We start from the raw sequence: 16,583 nt of genomic DNA on the forward strand, positions 1-16,583 counted from the left end.
GTGTTGATTTAACTGCTTATTTTTCCAGAGGATGATCAAATACTTGGACAGAGTTTTCAGAAAGAGGGAATGAACAACACTTATTTTTAGTTTTAAATGATCTGTTAGTCATGACTAAGGCAGCATGATGTAGTTTTGGGAAGAAAAAGAATATGAGCCAAGTATACTTTCTATTCATCTGTCCATTTATCTTTCCAGTAAACATATTTTGAATACCTATCCCAGATTAAGGATCAAGATTTATTAAATGCTTAATGTGTGTTGATCTTTCACACAAATTAACTAATTTACTGTTCTCCACTGCTAAGGTAGGTAGGTAAGTACTATTATTATCTTCCTTTTGCAAATCTGAAAACTAGCATTAACCCGACTTGGCAGATCTGAGGTGCCCAAAGACACACAGTTTACAAACAACACCAAGTTGGTCCCTACCCTCATGGAACTTACAATTTAGTGGCAAGGAAGACAATAAAACCACTAGTTAAACTGCTGTTAACATATCCTGCTATAAAGCAAGATTACTGAGGCAGCAGACAGCAGGAGAACTTAGGGGTTAAGCACAGCCCCTCATAAGAGGAGGTATTTAAGACAGTACAGGAGGCAGTTAGGGAAATAATGTGTGGAAGAATATTCCAGCCTGAAGGAACAGAAATTCACAGAATTGTGAGAAAATGTACTTCCTTAAAATAATGAAAAGAATTCAGGGTGACTGGAACAAAGACTATGAGAGAGGAAAGTTGAGGCTGGAGTTCAGGTTGTGAAGGGACTGGTGTGCATGTTAAGAAAGATGGCTTTGACCCTAAGGGTTATAGAAAGCAGAAAAATAGCATAATCAGAATTGTGCTTTTATAAGATCATTCTGGTTGCAATGCTCAACTTTATCAGCTGTGGGTTTTTTTTGTTTTTTGTTTTGTTTTGTTGTTTTGTTTTTTGAGACAGAGTTTCACTCGTCACCCATGCTGGAGTGCAGTGGTGTGATCTTGGCTCACTGCAACCTCCGCCTCCCTGGTTCAAGTCATTCTCCTGCCTCAGCTTCCCAAGTAGCTGGGATTACAGGTGCCTGCCACCATGCTGGCTCATTTTTGTATTTTTAGTACAGACAGGGTTTCACCATGTTGGCCAGACTGGTCTTGAACTCCTGACCTCAAGGGATCCACCCACCTCGGCCTCCCAAAGTTGCTGGGATTACAGGCGTGAACCACCTCACCCAGCCAAGCTGTGTGTTTTTAAATAAGTTACTTCATTTCTCCAAGTTTCATTTGCCTCATCTGTGAGATGCAGATACCAATACCAGCCTGGCAGTTTATATATGGGGAGTGAATGAAATAACGTATACAACATTCAGGTTGTTTTGTCTCAAACAAAACAGTCTCAGAACATTTGTATTCCCTTCCTTCTCCTCTCTTGGTGACTGACTTTATCCTGTAGAGCTACTACCCAAAGAAGACATGGTAAACAGGTCACCATCTAGGATTTTCCTATAGAGAGAGTTCATAGATACCCGCAGTATTTCGTTATACACAGGATTCAAGGTTTTCTTCACTACGAGTGTTTTCTTCTTGCCCATTTTGCCTTTGTCTGGTAGCAAATAGGCCTTTACATATCTGAAAAGGAGAATTGAACAGACAAAGTCAAAGAAAATAAAAGTTATGTTTCCACCTCTAGTTTTTTAAATACATTGAAAACTGACAGCAGAAATAATTATTTCATGACACTGAGAAAAGCAGTGAATAACAAATTTTCCTACCAATACCTTTATACTTAAATGTGTAAAGGGTTTTAGTGGAATTGATCATTTTATATTGTTTTGAAGATTTTTAACGGGCATTTCCTGCATTCCTTTTTTCCTTTGGCCTTAACTAATATGCAGGGGTGGAAAGGGGCAGAAAACACACTTCCAGGCCAGGCACGGTGGCTCACACCTGTAATCCCAGCACTCTGGGAGGCCAAGGTGAGCAGATCACCTGAGGTCGGGAGTTCAAGACCAGCCTGACCAACATGGAAAAACCCCATGAGCCAGGCTGGTCTCAAAAAAAAAAAAAAAAAAACCACACACACACACACACACACACACAGAGCTACAAAGTTAGCTGGGTGTGGTGATGCATGCCTGTAATTCCAGCTAGTCAGGAGGCTGAGGCAGGAGAATCGCTTGAACCCGGGAGGCGAAGGTTGCTGTGAGCTGAGATCGTGCCAGCCTGGGCAACAACAGTGAAACTCCACCTCAAAAAAAAAAAAGAAAAAAAGAAAACACACTTTCAGCATAGAGCTTAAATCTGTTTGTTCCCCTAGTTTGTTCCCCTCTGAGAAAACGCTTTGGTGCTTGCAGTATTTTTAAGTTTTTGTTACCGTCTTTTGAAATAAATTAATCTTAGTAAATACCTAGTCAAGTTATCTTCAATGTTAAAAAAATAAAGGATGTTGAGCTCAGTTGTTTTTATAATAAGAATAAAAGAAAAAAGGATTGCACTTGTCTCAGCAAAATAATTAAGAATCAGACTTCTGTATAGGGATAAGTAGGGAATACCATTCAGCGTTTGCAAAAAAAGAAAAAAAACTGAAGTGCAATTAAACCTGTGATTTAAAACAATAATTTTAGTAATTTCCCCTAAAGTTCTGTAAGATATAATTTAAATATGAAAATTCTCTCATTCTAGAGTCTTAACTATTTTTATACCACTGAGCTTTATGAAGTGTGTCCCATGTATCCCTAATTTTGTAAAAAGTTTGAGAGTGTGGTGGAAAGAGATGGGTTCAGGTCCTCATTCCTCATTTTGCTTCTATCTGAATTCACATATATGGGTTACTTGTCTTCTCTGGTCCTTGCGTTCTTATCTGTAAAATGAAGGAACTGAACAAGATGACCCCAAAGGTTCTTTCCAAGTTGAAACATTTTGTGCTTCTCTGTGATTTTTTTTTTTTTTTTTTTTTTTTTTGAGATGGAGTCTCACTCTGTCGCCCAGGCTGGAGTGCAGTGGCCCGATCTCAGCTCACTGCAAGCTCCGCCTCCTCGCCATTCTCCTGCCTCAGCCTCCCGAGTAGCTGGGACTACAGGCGCCCGCCACCACGCCCAGCTAATTTTTTGTATTTTTAGTAGAGATGGGGTTTCACCATGTTAGCCAGGATGGTCTCGATCTCCTGACCTTGTGATCCGCCCGCCTCGGCCTCCCAAAGTGCTGGGATTACAGGCGTGAGCCACCGTGCCCGGCCTTTCTCTGTGATTTTTATAATTTAATGTTTGACATATGAATTTATAGAATAAAACAGCATTTCCCCCCAACTTTTCAAACATTCCTCTTAACACATACCCTCCCTCCTCTTGATTACTTTATTTCCTTCCAATTCCTGTAAGATTGACAGTTGGAGAACTAAGAGAAGGTAGGTGACTCTAAAATGTACTTACGGGTCTGAACGCTGTTTTTTTACATCCGCTGCTGCTAAGTCCTTACACTGGGCCACAAAAACATGCAACTCCTTCAGTGACTCCACATATTCAATTGCAAACTGAATATTTCCTTTAACTTCCAGATTGCCAAAGTCTCCACTATAAACACTCATCACACTGCCACTCACCTGAAAGCATCAGAAATACATAGTGTTTGTCTCTATCTCATTCTTAAACCTAGCACAAGGATCATGGATATAATCCCTGCTGGCATTATTTCTTTAGCTTGCTTATAAAAGCAGTTAATTCAATATAGCATAAAGACATATCTATAAAGACAACCTGACATGATATACATGACTAGAGTTTTTTGTTTCATTTTGTTTTTGAGACAGAGTCTCACTCTGTTGCCCAGGATGGAGTGCAGTGGCTTGATCTCGGCTCACTGCAACCTCCACCTCCCAGGTTCAGGCGATTCTCCTGACTCAGCTTCCCAAGCAGCTGGGATTACAGGCGCACGCCACCATGCCCAGCTAATTTTTATATTTTTAGTAGAGATGGGGTTTCACCAGGTTAGCCAGGCTGGTCTCAAACTCCTGACCTCAAGTAATCTGCCCACCTCGGCCTCCCAAAGTGCTGGAATTACAGGCATGAGCCACCGCGCCCAGCCGACTAATGTTTTTAAATAATTTTCCCTATAAGACATAGATGAAAAGTGAAATGCAATGTTATTTAGATGCTGGCTCATTTCAAAGCAGGGTGATTTTATGCTAGGTGGCATTCAAAGGCATCCATTTTCTGGCATGCTTAATATTTAAAATCCAAAAGAAAGAAGATGTGAGAAAACCCAGACACTCTAATCATAGTGACACACTGCTGTATCGAATTTCCAAGGCACTAAAAAGGAATTTTACCATGTTACCCATCCACTGAATCTAGAAAAATGCTTACTGAGCCATGCGCTTTTAGAGGTCAGGAAGGGTAGAAAATGGATGATTGATGAAGGGAGTTTAAAACCTTCCCAAAGGCAGATGTTAGATTTTTATCAGCAGAAACTCAATTTAAATAGGTTTTTAAAAAAGGTTTCAGAAACACAAGGCTAGCAAGAATTTAAGCACAGTTTTATCATTTCTTCAGCATACTTGGGTGAATATATGTATGTGTATGCACATCTGATACTCAGATAAGTGTATGTGGATATATTTACATATATTTTTACATACATACTACATGCACATACAACTTCACCTTATGCAAGAAGTTCTATGTAAAGTCAAATTAGTTAGATTCCCTTAAATCAAATCTGAGTAACTACACTTAAGGATATTTCCTTTTAAAATGCTGCTCAGATGCCTTCTAAAAGGCAAGGAATTACCTCTCATATTCTTTCATGTCAACCAGTATATTGATTGCTCAGGATTACTAAAAGAGAGGTTCAATTCTATGCCTGCAAATCATATATAAAAGCATATCTGATACAAGCAGATTTTATCATAGTTACCCCATTTGTTGCACAGAAAAATTTAGTGGTTCATCTTCTTGGCAATTTAAGTTTATTTGTGAAGTACTTACATCAACAACAACAAAAAACCCCACAAAGATTTGTTTATGATGGATATGAACCCCGTTAGTCTAAAAAAAAAAAGATAGATGTAGCTAGCCAGAAGCTAATTATGGATTAGAGAAACTGTTTGTGCCCTGAGAAATACAGGAGGAGGCTGTTTTACAATGAGCATGAGCATGTCAGAGCAAGGTTCAGAGACGCGGAGAGATATTAATATGGAGCCTTTGTTTACATACAGAAGACAAGGACGTCATGCCAGAGGAGCTGCTAAGATTGGTTAAAGAGCTCGGGCTCTTCTTGTGTCTGCTGAGCTGGTAACTGCTTTCTGATGCTGTATCTGTTTCTCTGTCATCACTCTACAAAACAGCATATAATATGCACAATATTTAAATTCAGAATGAGTCAAGATCAGAATCTCTGTTTAGGCAAAGATGAGATTTTGGTATTCCACTGACATTTACGCAAGGTCAAAGGATGCTAGTGCTAATTGCCAGGGTATGGGATTCAGGATGGAGTGGGTGGTCTGCCTTGACCTCACCTAAGGAGGAAGGCAGTGCTTAGCTACCAAAATAACGAAGTGATTTCTTTTCACCTACAAAGTAGTCTTTCCCAAAGTGCTGCAGAAGACAGCACTATTGTGAGCTTTCTTGCCAGTCTTTTAATATTATATATTTATTTGCCTGGGGAACTCTATTGGTATATATGAGAAATTAACTTTACCCAGATAATAAAAAGATTTACTGTTAAAACCAAAACATCATGTTTAATTCCTCTTATTAGCACAGCCCCTAACTTCTCTAAAAATCAAATCTTTTACTTGACACACTATTAAACTAGGAAAAAAGAAATGCTAGTCTCATCTGTTTCAACTCAAGGCCATATATATATATTTTTTAATGTTTAAAATTTTTAAACTTCCCCTTACATATTCCTGTGTTATTATGCTTATCTTTTTGTTCCTAGAGTTAAGTATATTAAATTATACATTCTACCCACATTAGATTTTAACACATTTTTTAAAAAGAAGTAAAATACAGGTATTTATTTTAAATATGTCCGAGGAAGTATTTACCTGGGACAAGAAAGAAAAGTGACAGTAACAAATTTTGTTATATTTGAATCTAAAGTTTATTAAATAGTAGCTTTAAAAATTTATGATTCAGAGTGAGCTCCTTTTAGGGTTAGAGAGCTTATGGAACAGTTCAGTGGCACCAGGGGTTAAGGGACACCTTTATGGAGTAGTTAGTTCATGCCAGCATATTCCAGGACCATGCAATTATGCATCAATATAATGGATGCCAATTGTAATGCAGATTAATAAAGGAGTTAAAGGAAAGCAAAATTAATGCTTTACGTGGATAAGAATCCTTTCTCAAGGATTAAAAAAATTCATATCTTTTAAATGTCTCTGTTGTCACACTCTCTCCCCACATGCTGATAGTCATTTCCCTCTATTTTAGCGCCTACTGCATTCTACCTAGTATATCAGATCATTAGTGAATTATTGGAAGGATAGGACTCTGCCTTGTTGATCTGGAATGGTGTTTTACATGTAACTGGCACTCAACAAATGTGACTGATGATAAGTCTCAAAGGGAACAGATGAGCAAGGCCTGATTGCATTTCCACTTTCTTTAATACCTAGTTCAACCCTATACCCCATGCAAAATGATAGAGCTTAATTCTGGCATCTCTGATACACAAACCCAGATGATTTGAACTCTCTTCTGTGTGGAGCTATGAGACAGCAGGTTAAAACTGAAGGAAGGAGAAAAATTAAAAACCAGGAACTTATATAATTTGCCTCGAAAATACATATACACACACACACACACACACACACACACACTTTTTTTTTCAATTAGAGTCTCACTCTATCGCCTAGGCTGGAGTGCAGTGGCACAATCTCGGCTCACTACAGCCTCTGCCTCCCGGGTTCAAGCAATTCCCCTGCCTTACCCTCTCAAGTAGCTGGGATTATAGACATGAGCCACCATGCCCGGCTAATTTTTTGAATTTTTAGTAGAGACAGGGTTTTGCTATGTTGGCCAGGCTGGTCTCAAACTCCTGGGCCTCAAGGGATCTGCCCGTCTCAGTTTCCCAAAGTGCCAGGATTACAGGCATAAGCTACCATGCCCGGCCTCATATTATTATATGGTTGAACTGCATGGCATGCCTACTGTTGGCTTCTAGCTAATGAATTACTTCCAAAGAATGAGTGATTCTTTCCAAAGGAAACTGTAACATGTGCTCTTAACCATAGGCAAGGGCTGAATATTTGCAGATACAGTTCATCAAAGGCCCAAGAATGGACAAAAGGATGCCCAGGCCAGTGACAGAATATAATTTATGTGTTGCCCAGAGCTTTCCTCAACATTCCATCTACTAAGAGAATTCTTGATAATGAAGCCTTTTATTTCACCGTTAGAAATCAGACCAAAACTACAAACAGTAGCAGCTAACATTTACCAGGTACTCATTATATGCCAAGCACTGTGCTATGTGTTTTCCCTGCATTATCCTACCGATACCCCACAACCTCACGTGGTAGGTGCAAGGAAACCAGACTCAGAGAAGGTACTGAATGTGTCCATGATCACACAGAAAATTAGTATCATAACCAGGACTAGGGATATCTGGCTCCAAAGCTTAGGCTCCTAACTACCTGACTGCAAGAACATGGAATCTTAATTAAGTCAAAGGACCTGAGTTAAAGTCCTAGATCTACTCTTCAGTAGCTATTGGATTTGGGGAAAGTTATTTAACCTCTCTGCGGCTCTTTCTTCATTTGTAAAATGAAGAAAATAGTCCTTACCACATATAGTTAGTAAGAGTGAGATGACAGAATGAGTATTAGGTACCTGGCACATATTAGGTACTCAATGAATAGTAAATTATAGTCATGTGCTTTCTTAAGACCGTACAGTATATAGTATAGTCATTAACAGCAGGCAACTTGGATCTGTGCTCCAGTCCTGGTTGAACCCCCTTCTAGCTGAGTGAGGTTAATCTCCCTTAGTCTCAGTTTCCTCACCTGTAATGTGTGGGGATAATGATGGTGCCTGCCTCCTAGGGTTGTTGAAGGATTAAATGATATATGTAAAGTGCCTGGCACCCAGTAAATACTCCTTAAAGCTTGATGTGTCATTGTTACTTTATTAACAAACACTTTCAAACTAGTCATGCTGCCTAAATTAAGTTTTCACAAATCAAGTCTACTCCAAACTACAGAGGAATAATCAGTTCATATACCTTCCTGGATTTCTTATTTTGTACTAACTTTGAAACAAAAGTCACATTCCCAAATCTATGCAATTTGACTTCACTAACCAAAAGGAGTTACTGTTTGAGTCAAATGAGATGTGCCTTTCCCTGTTCCAGGATGAACAACACTACTTCTATTGACTTGAAAGGCAAGGGCCAGTCCTTCTGACCTCTTTGATCTCTGCCACAGTGGAATACAAACACACCAACCTTGGCATAGCAATTCCAACCCTCTGTCTCCATTTTTCTGAAGGTACAAAAGACAAACTTGCCTCATCTTGGAGAAATGCTGGAACAGACTTGCTCATCCTTTTGAGTTTGTCAGGGTGAGAAAATGGATTATCAGGTTGTGTAGGCACTGTGGAAACTAAACAGCAGCATTTCCATTTCAAAATTATTCTTACAATTGTCAGAAAACATTAGACATTAAGTTGAAAACATACTTTTATTTAATCTATGAACAAACATGTTTTTGTAAAAAAGTTAAAGGCAGAGTAGTCCACATGCACAGGATCATGAGATTAGCAACATGCAGTTTTTATAAATTATATAGAGAGAGAACTAGCAAGGAGTTGAACCAAATACAAAACAAAGTTAATTTTAAAAACATTAGTTTTTATTGAACTGGAGCTGCACTTGAATCAAATTATACTGTCAGTGTGAATTGGTTTAGCTTATTTTTTCACAACAGAGCTTCAGACCACAAAGTCTGTACTTTATTGGTTCATCTCCTTGAGATATATCACTAACACACTGCAGGCTGAAAAACTATTTCATCTGGACAGTCAAGATTTTTGTACACAACTCAATAATAAAACTGTTCTGGTTGTTGAGTGTCTTAGAGTAGGTTTGTTTAGTGAGCATGAGGATTACTTTTCTGATAGTGTTTTACACTCAGAATTATAAAATAAACATTATTTTTTGAAAATATAAATTATTTAGATACCTCACTGATTCAGAATTTTCAATATCCCAAGGCAAAGTTAGAATGGTTAAAGTTAGGGTACTCTAAGAATTTAATAAGAAAATGTAGCATATGTCTTCTTTCTGATATAGAAAGTATATGTGTAGAAGGTACAAGAAGAGGATAAATTATAATCCTAATTTGCATACACCTAGTTAGAAAACTATTTTCTTCTTTTTCTAAGAATCACAACATCTAAGCTTTTCTTATGGTGAATCACAGCTCTTATAATGAATAAGTTAATATTTTCCAAGGCACTTAGTGCCTAGCACAGAGTAAGCTCTATATAAGTATTTTCTAATCTAATAAATATCATATGATAAAGAATCTTAAATTATATTGTGAATGAAACAGATACATTGACTTTATCATTATAAGAGATATTAAGAAAATAGGTAAAAATCAAATTATATTTATATACATAACACAAAAGACTCAAATTCATGCTTAAACATTAAATTCATCTTTAAAGAAATCTAATGAAGGAAAAACTAAAAATTTAGCTACACGTACTAAAGATATCCTTGCTCACATAACAATTTTCACCTATCCTTAGGCTCCCATAGGTAAATGCACATCAGAATGCATTTATGGTGTCTCACTAAAATGACACCTACTTTAATCACTTCCCATGAAACAACAATGTGTGTGTATTAGGGAGAGTTATACTGGTAGCAGTGTAAGATTAGGTCCCACAATATGGTCCAATGAGAATGCAAAAACTTTTTTGTTATAACATTGCACCCTACTATTTTCAAAGTATATTGTTGGATGATGCTATGAAGGTCAAATTCAATTATACCCACTACTCAAATGTAATCAATTTTAGATTTATGGGCTTTCATCATTTGTGTTTGGATCATGTATTTGATTTTTGTGGTAAGAATATACTCTTTACCAGTGAAAAGGCACTAACAGTCATTTTGGAAAATATCACAAAAAAGGGACAAATTAATTTACCCAGAGTTCAGCACAGGAGTAGTCTATGTGCCTTGACCAATAAACTAAGCCAATTAGGAGATCATGAATAAAGATACAGATATTTAGGCATATATGTCTATGTGTGTTTTGCTTTTACTCCACAGACTAAATTTTGAACAAAACATAGCAAGATATTATAAGATGCTCAAAATTAAATATGTCCTAGTTCAAAAGTAACTGGAAAAGCCCCTTTACCTAACACCCCTTAGGGGCAGAAGGCTTGTTTCATCTGCAGTAGTCAGACAGAGAGCACATACTCACAAGAGCTGAAGCCTGGACTCTCTTCTTTCCTAGGCAGTTCTTAAGAATTTGTCAAGTCATGTGCCAAAGTTCAGCACCTTCACTGCTGGCAGGAGGACCTCATAAGCAAAGTTTCAGGTTTCCCACTACATGTCACTGACTTTTAGCCATCAGCACATTGGTTTTCTATCTAATGGCTCCTCCGTTTAGCTGCTTTCCTCATTAAGCCCTATTAGCATATCCAAAGACTGTTGGGAAATTATTATTTAAAATATTGTGGCCCTGAGGGTAGACATGTGTATCATTATCTTCATACCCCCAGTGCCTAGGGTTTATGAAACAGAGTGAAACCAAGAAGCTAAAAAATCATACACACACACACACACACACACACACACACACACACAGAGCTGCATGCTTTACTAGGCCATCTGAGTACTTTTTAAATGTGTTATTTGTCCTTAAGATAGTAGTCACAGCTAAGTAGAGTAATCTTAAGATTGAACAGAAAAGATCGAACAAACATTATCTTTGCTTGATGATAGACATTAATTAGTAGATGGGCATTAGTCACCACAGGTATACATTTACTTCTTAGATTCACTTGTTCACTTGGTTTATACTTAGAACATTTACCATTCAAGGCAGTTTTGAAACTCAGAGTTTAAACCCTGGGCATAATAAGATTTGCTTTTATGGATATGGAGAGAAGCACATACTCTAACAGTTCTTTCATAGGTCCAAATAAGTTATAAATGAATTCACATCTACAGTTTCGTACAGAGGCCACAAGAGATCCAATACTCAAAATCATACTGCAACATAAAAACCAAATGAAATCAGAAGGTGCCAACTTGCTTTTAAGCAGAGATTCAAACAGCATAGAGACTGACAAAAGCACAATAATATCAGCAATAACATATATATATATATTTAATATACAACTCTCCCTCAGTGGAACCACAAATCATTCTTTCAACACAGACAATAGTAAAATGTTTTCAATAAAACCCTTATCGTAATGAAATAGCTTTGCAAGCTGCAGGAGTTTAGTGCCAATAATAAATACTGTGTTATTAATGGGGTTAGTTATTTCAGTATATTTAATATGTAAAGTGGAATGTTTAGTCATTTGTGAGAAAGATCCTGCTACTCACTTCTTGGTACGCATTCATTTGTAACTGGCTTCTGATCTGGTTTCTCATCTACTCAGGAGGGCAACATTGAGAATAAATACCATTTTAACAGAAGGATTAAAGAGACATGAAAGTAAAGCTCAAATGTCAGTTTCACAACTGAGACAGCAGAATACATCTGACAGGTTTTCATCTTGCTTTCATCCATTCCTCACTGTGACTCTTCTTCATTAGCCTCTTTAAGGTCTCCTGTTCAACTAAAAATCTGGGATCAAACAAAAGAGATACGGAGCATCCTTCCTGTAATTCACTAGACCACAGTATGGAAAATGGGAAGGAGCACTGGACTAGGAGTAATGAAGCTGAGATTCTATTTCCTGCCCTCCCAGTGACTGACTAACTATAGGATCTTAGAAAAGTCACCTAATTTCTCTGAGTTTTTCTTATCAGCAAAATGAAGATAAAAATCCCTGCCCCATCAACTTCAGTGAGGTTGTTGTAAACATAAAATAAGAAAGACAGAACGATTACATAAAAGTAAAGAATGACCTTTAAGGAGCTCTGTTGCTGCATTTATATGGGAAAGCTCAGTGAGTACACATTTTTATGATTATAGTGAAGGCAAATTTAACAACAAGTAAATAAAATCCAGCATGCAAATACAAATTATACATTTGCATAAATTCTGCAATATAAAAATCAGACTCATTTCTGTCTCTCCCTCAACCAAGGCACCACTATACTATTCATCTTATAACAGAGCCAAGTAATACCTGATCCACTGACAAGCTTCAAGATCTTCTGGCTCCATTATATTCAGAATCAACTTCACCCTCTGTCTATATTTAGTTATTTATATAAGCAGAGGCACGATTTCCCACCCTTGTTCTGGGACTCTTTCCTTTGAATTTAAGATTTTACCAGTTGTGCCCAGAGAGATCTAAATGCTGAGACTTGAGAATCAAACAGAAGAATAACTTAACCCAGGAATTCACTCCACTCTTCCTGCCTTTACAAAGAGTTCTGCAAGTCAGAGTAGCAAAAATCAGCTCACATCCAAAGAAATACAATTTTCTATTTATAGAAACCCTTGCTTCACAAGGGTCTCTGATGAGATCCTCATGACAGTATCACCAGAAGAAGCCTTAAGAATACAAACTATATTAAATGTACCAAATCAGAACTGTTTTATAGTAACTTAGGCACTATTCACCACATAGTGGCAAATGACGTTCTTCTGTTTACCCAACAGCTGCGTCCCGGAGACTGCCCAAATCACCCCAGAAGTTAATACAAAGACAGACACGCAAATACATAAAGATATTTACCATCTTCAGCACTACGCACTAATTCTTCTGGCTGATTATCTACTTTTGCTTGATCTGTTCAGAAGAAATTAACAAATGGTTAACATGGCTGACCCTTGGAGAGAAAAGAACAATGAGATTGTCCCTGGAAGCCCCCGGAGTTGGAAGCAATTAGTCAAGATGCAATGAGGGGTGCAACCAAGATGTCTTCCCCAAAATACTTTCTCTTTAGATTAGCTCCTTGAGCCAGTGCCATAGCGGGAGCTCCCATTTCAGCCCGGATGCAGCTCACATCACTGCTGCACACAGACTCCCAAGGGTTAGAGGGTTAGTTCAGAGCAAGCAATCGGCCAGCAGCAGGAGAAAGCACGGGGCTGCAACAGCCTCTCTATTCTTCTGTAAAGGGTATGATGCTAGCCATGACTAACACCTTCCCAAACCCATGGTCATTAACAAATATTTGTGTGTGTGCATCATCATTCACATATGCCTCTGGGAGGCTTGCTTGGGAAGTCAACTGAAGAGATGTAACTGGGGACCAGCTGCTAAGTGGAATCTTGGCAGGCTAGTGTGAGAGTGGGTATCAGTATTTGGAAGGGAGCGTGCAGGAATACCCGTCAGCTGATGGTGATTTTTTTTTAACCCTATACATTCCTGAGTACTTTAAAGCTGCACCATGGAAATAGCCCCATGTTTCACAGGCAAGAGGTTTGCTAAATGGGCCAATTGTTCTGAGATTTTTTTTTTCTTTTTTTCTTTTTCTCAAGGCCCATCACCAACATCAGGAAAAACAATCAGGGCTGTCCAACAAAGGATTCGACTCGCCTTCTCTGGAAGCATTCAGGCGGATATGGGGGTTGGCCGCCTGTTGAGGAGGCTTTAGAGAGAATTCCTGCATTGAGGGGAGGTTAAAATGGGTGATTTTTAAGATCCCTTCTAACCCTGAGATTCCAAGATCCTTGGGATAGTCAGGACTACATTCCAAATTGGGAATACTGTCTTCAAACCCCTGGGAATCTGTGAATTTTAGGAAATGTTTGGTGAAGTGGCTTTTTCTTTTCTTTTTTTCATTTTTAAATTCTGACTTTTTATTCTTAATTGCAAATGCACAAAAAATATTCTAAACATAACAATGGCCAATTTTCAATCATATGAGTTTGGCAGTGGTTAACTTTTCACTTGATAATTTTTCTTATGACCATCTGCAATCCCAGGGGTGCATTTTAGCTTGAAAATAGCAAGAACAAAACCCCAAGAAATCATGGTTTCTTAGTCCATTTGTCTAGCACACAACTCTCTTTATATATTATGTTTTCTGCTAGTACTCAAGAAATCCTTCACCATTAAAGCAGCTGCCAGTGGGGAATCGTGTACCTAAAGTCTTTCATGTTAAGTAGTTTTGGGCTTATAGTTCCAGTATCTAGAAGAAAAGTGTGAACAGAATAGAAGGGATAAAAGAGAAAGGAAAGTCCTTGAAGCCAGGGACTAATTCAACTCCGTATCATGCAAAATTCACTGGACATCCAACGCTGTCATATATAATGTGGTCCCTTCATAAATGTTCTTGATAATAGCCTGTTAATTTTGAGTCCCAGATCTTCCGTGTAATACTAAAAAGGTCATTTCACATTTCTGAGCTTCATTTTCCTCATCTTTAAATTTGGATAACAATAATTCACCTCTCATAGGGTTGCTTGTGCTGGTTAAATGAGATAATACATGTAAAATTGTTAGGCACGTTTTGGCAAATAATATTCAATAAATGCTAGTTATGACTATTTTCACTAATACTACTAGCTACCACTATCCTTTGAAACTCACTGTACTTGAGAAACACTCAAACTGGGATTCTTCAATTAAAGGAAACCTAGTGTTTTAGTAACCAAATGTAATATATTATTTTATAAGCAAAGTTCCAGCCACTTTAGGTTGAGCCTCTTCAGCGCACTTTGGAGAGGTTATTTTCATCTGTTAACTGCCCCCATTAGAGGGTGCAGTGCACAACAGCACGCAGTGAGGCTACAGGAGAGCACATAGGCATTTTTAAGCTTAGATGGGGCATGAACAGTGAGGCGAACTTTATTCTCACTTGATGAATCTGATGAAATGTCTTCTAGACTTTTGGAAGGCATTTTCCTAGCGGCACTCCTTTCCAAAGTTTTCAAAACAGGACTGGGTTCTTCTTCTGAACCTGTTATAAAACAAAATCGATGAACACTGCACAATACCAAAAAAAAAAAAAATCCTCTAACATATGGACATAGAAATGGTAGGCTGAAAAGAGACATTATGCTATGAGTTTCTACTTTAAGAAGCACTTATTTCACAGAAGAAAATAAAATTTCTCCACTATTAATATGCTCTTAAACATAATTTTCCTGGTCAAGAAATATTTGCAAACGTAAACCCTACAAAAACAAGATTACCACATTAATAGAAATGTGATCTCTTAGTTGTTTACTCCTATTTTAGACATATGATTTGTCCTATGCCAGACATTGACTCTTCCCATTTAACATTCTAGCTTTTGAAGACAGCCATGAAATACTTCTAGGAGCATTAATAAAATTAATTCAAAACCGTGGAAGGCAGGATTCAGATGTTTAACATCTGTGTATAATTGGGTACACATATGAGTGCATTCTCCAGATCAAAGGTTGTAGACTTTCTGGGTTTCATGATCTAGTATAATTTCCAATGAAATGTTGGGAAATAACATGGGATAGTCAAATTTTTATTTTAGTAAGGCATTTTAAAGTTGCGGGAGGGAGGCCTCTATCATTTACTAATGCCGTTATTTTATAAAAGGAATGGCTGCATCATGAATAAGCTTAAGTACTGACATTTATTACTGCTGTATTCTCAGTGCCTAGAACAGTGGCTGGAAATAAACACTTCAAAATATTTGCTGAATCAATGAGTGATTCGATTAAGGAATCAATTAATTTAAGAACCACTTCTCTAGACAATAATTTCCTGAAATACATTCCAGTTCTGCCTAGTACATTCCATAGCAAATGGATTCTAAGATGAATTAGATTTGGATGTTCTCTGTTCAAATTTAAAATGTTCCTTACTGCGGACCTTCTCTGTGCATAATGGCCCAGCATTTCCAAAAGTATTTGACTACTGAACCTTTAATTTTTCCCAAAGGAGCATACTGAGGTATTGCTTAGTTAAGAGCTCAGCCGCAAGTCAAATGTGTTAGCTTGCTCCCCAAAATTACAGTACCCTTATAGTAGGTTTCTCTTCATTTTTCACCCCACCCCCACTGCAGTTTGCTTTAAAATAATAATTTAGGTTAGAGTATATAAACCTAAATTAAAATCATGACTATACCATTTGATACTTCTTAATTGGCTTGTTATTCTAAAATGTCTTCTCTGGGCTCTGTTTAGGTGATTTTTTTTTTTTTTTTTTTTTTTTTTGAGATGAAGTCTTGCTCTGTAGCCCAGGCTGGAGTGCAGTGGCGTGATCTCGACTCACTGCAAGCTCCGCCTCAGGGTTCACACCATTCTGCTGCCTCAGCCTCCCGAGTAGCTGGGACTACAGCCACCACCACGCCCGGCTACTTTATTGTATTTTTTAGTAGAGATGGGGTTTCACCATGTTAGCCAGGATGGTCTCGATATCCTCACCTCATGATCTGCCCGCCTTGGCCTCCCAAAGTGCTGGGATTACAGGCGTGAGCCACCGTGCCCAGCCTAGGTGATTATTTAACGCTGCCTTTTTAGATAGGCTT

General features: G+C 37.9%; 1 protein-coding gene across 73 annotated transcripts in view; it reads right to left on the minus strand.

Annotated features, from left to right (window-relative positions):
• SYTL2 (synaptotagmin like 2) overlaps positions 1-16,583 on the minus strand; it is a 160,642-nt gene that overhangs the window by 11,699 nt on the left and 132,360 nt on the right. For 23 of the 73 annotated variants that reach the window (NM_001394471.1, NM_001394462.1, NM_001394458.1 and 20 more), the window contains 6 exons: positions 14,931-15,032; positions 12,863-12,916; positions 8,486-8,580; positions 5,186-5,305; positions 3,404-3,573; positions 1,502-1,604 (listed from right to left, as the gene is read on the minus strand). In NM_001394471.1, the coding sequence (NP_001381400.1) occupies positions 1,502-1,604; positions 3,404-3,573; positions 5,186-5,305; positions 8,486-8,580; positions 12,863-12,916; positions 14,931-15,032 (644 nt within the window). Of the gene's footprint in view, positions 1-1,501; positions 1,605-2,110; positions 2,224-3,403; positions 3,574-5,185; positions 5,306-8,485; positions 8,581-11,555; positions 11,604-12,862; positions 13,168-14,930; positions 15,033-16,583 lie in introns of those variants that run through there. The other 50 variants (NM_001394453.1, NM_001394469.1, NM_001289608.2 and 47 more) reach the window with 21 other exon arrangements.

The sequence above is a fragment of the Homo sapiens genome, chromosome 11 (genome assembly GCF_000001405.40).
Source record: "Homo sapiens chromosome 11, GRCh38.p14 Primary Assembly".
In the NCBI taxonomy this organism is placed as follows: Eukaryota; Metazoa; Chordata; class Mammalia; order Primates; family Hominidae; genus Homo; species Homo sapiens.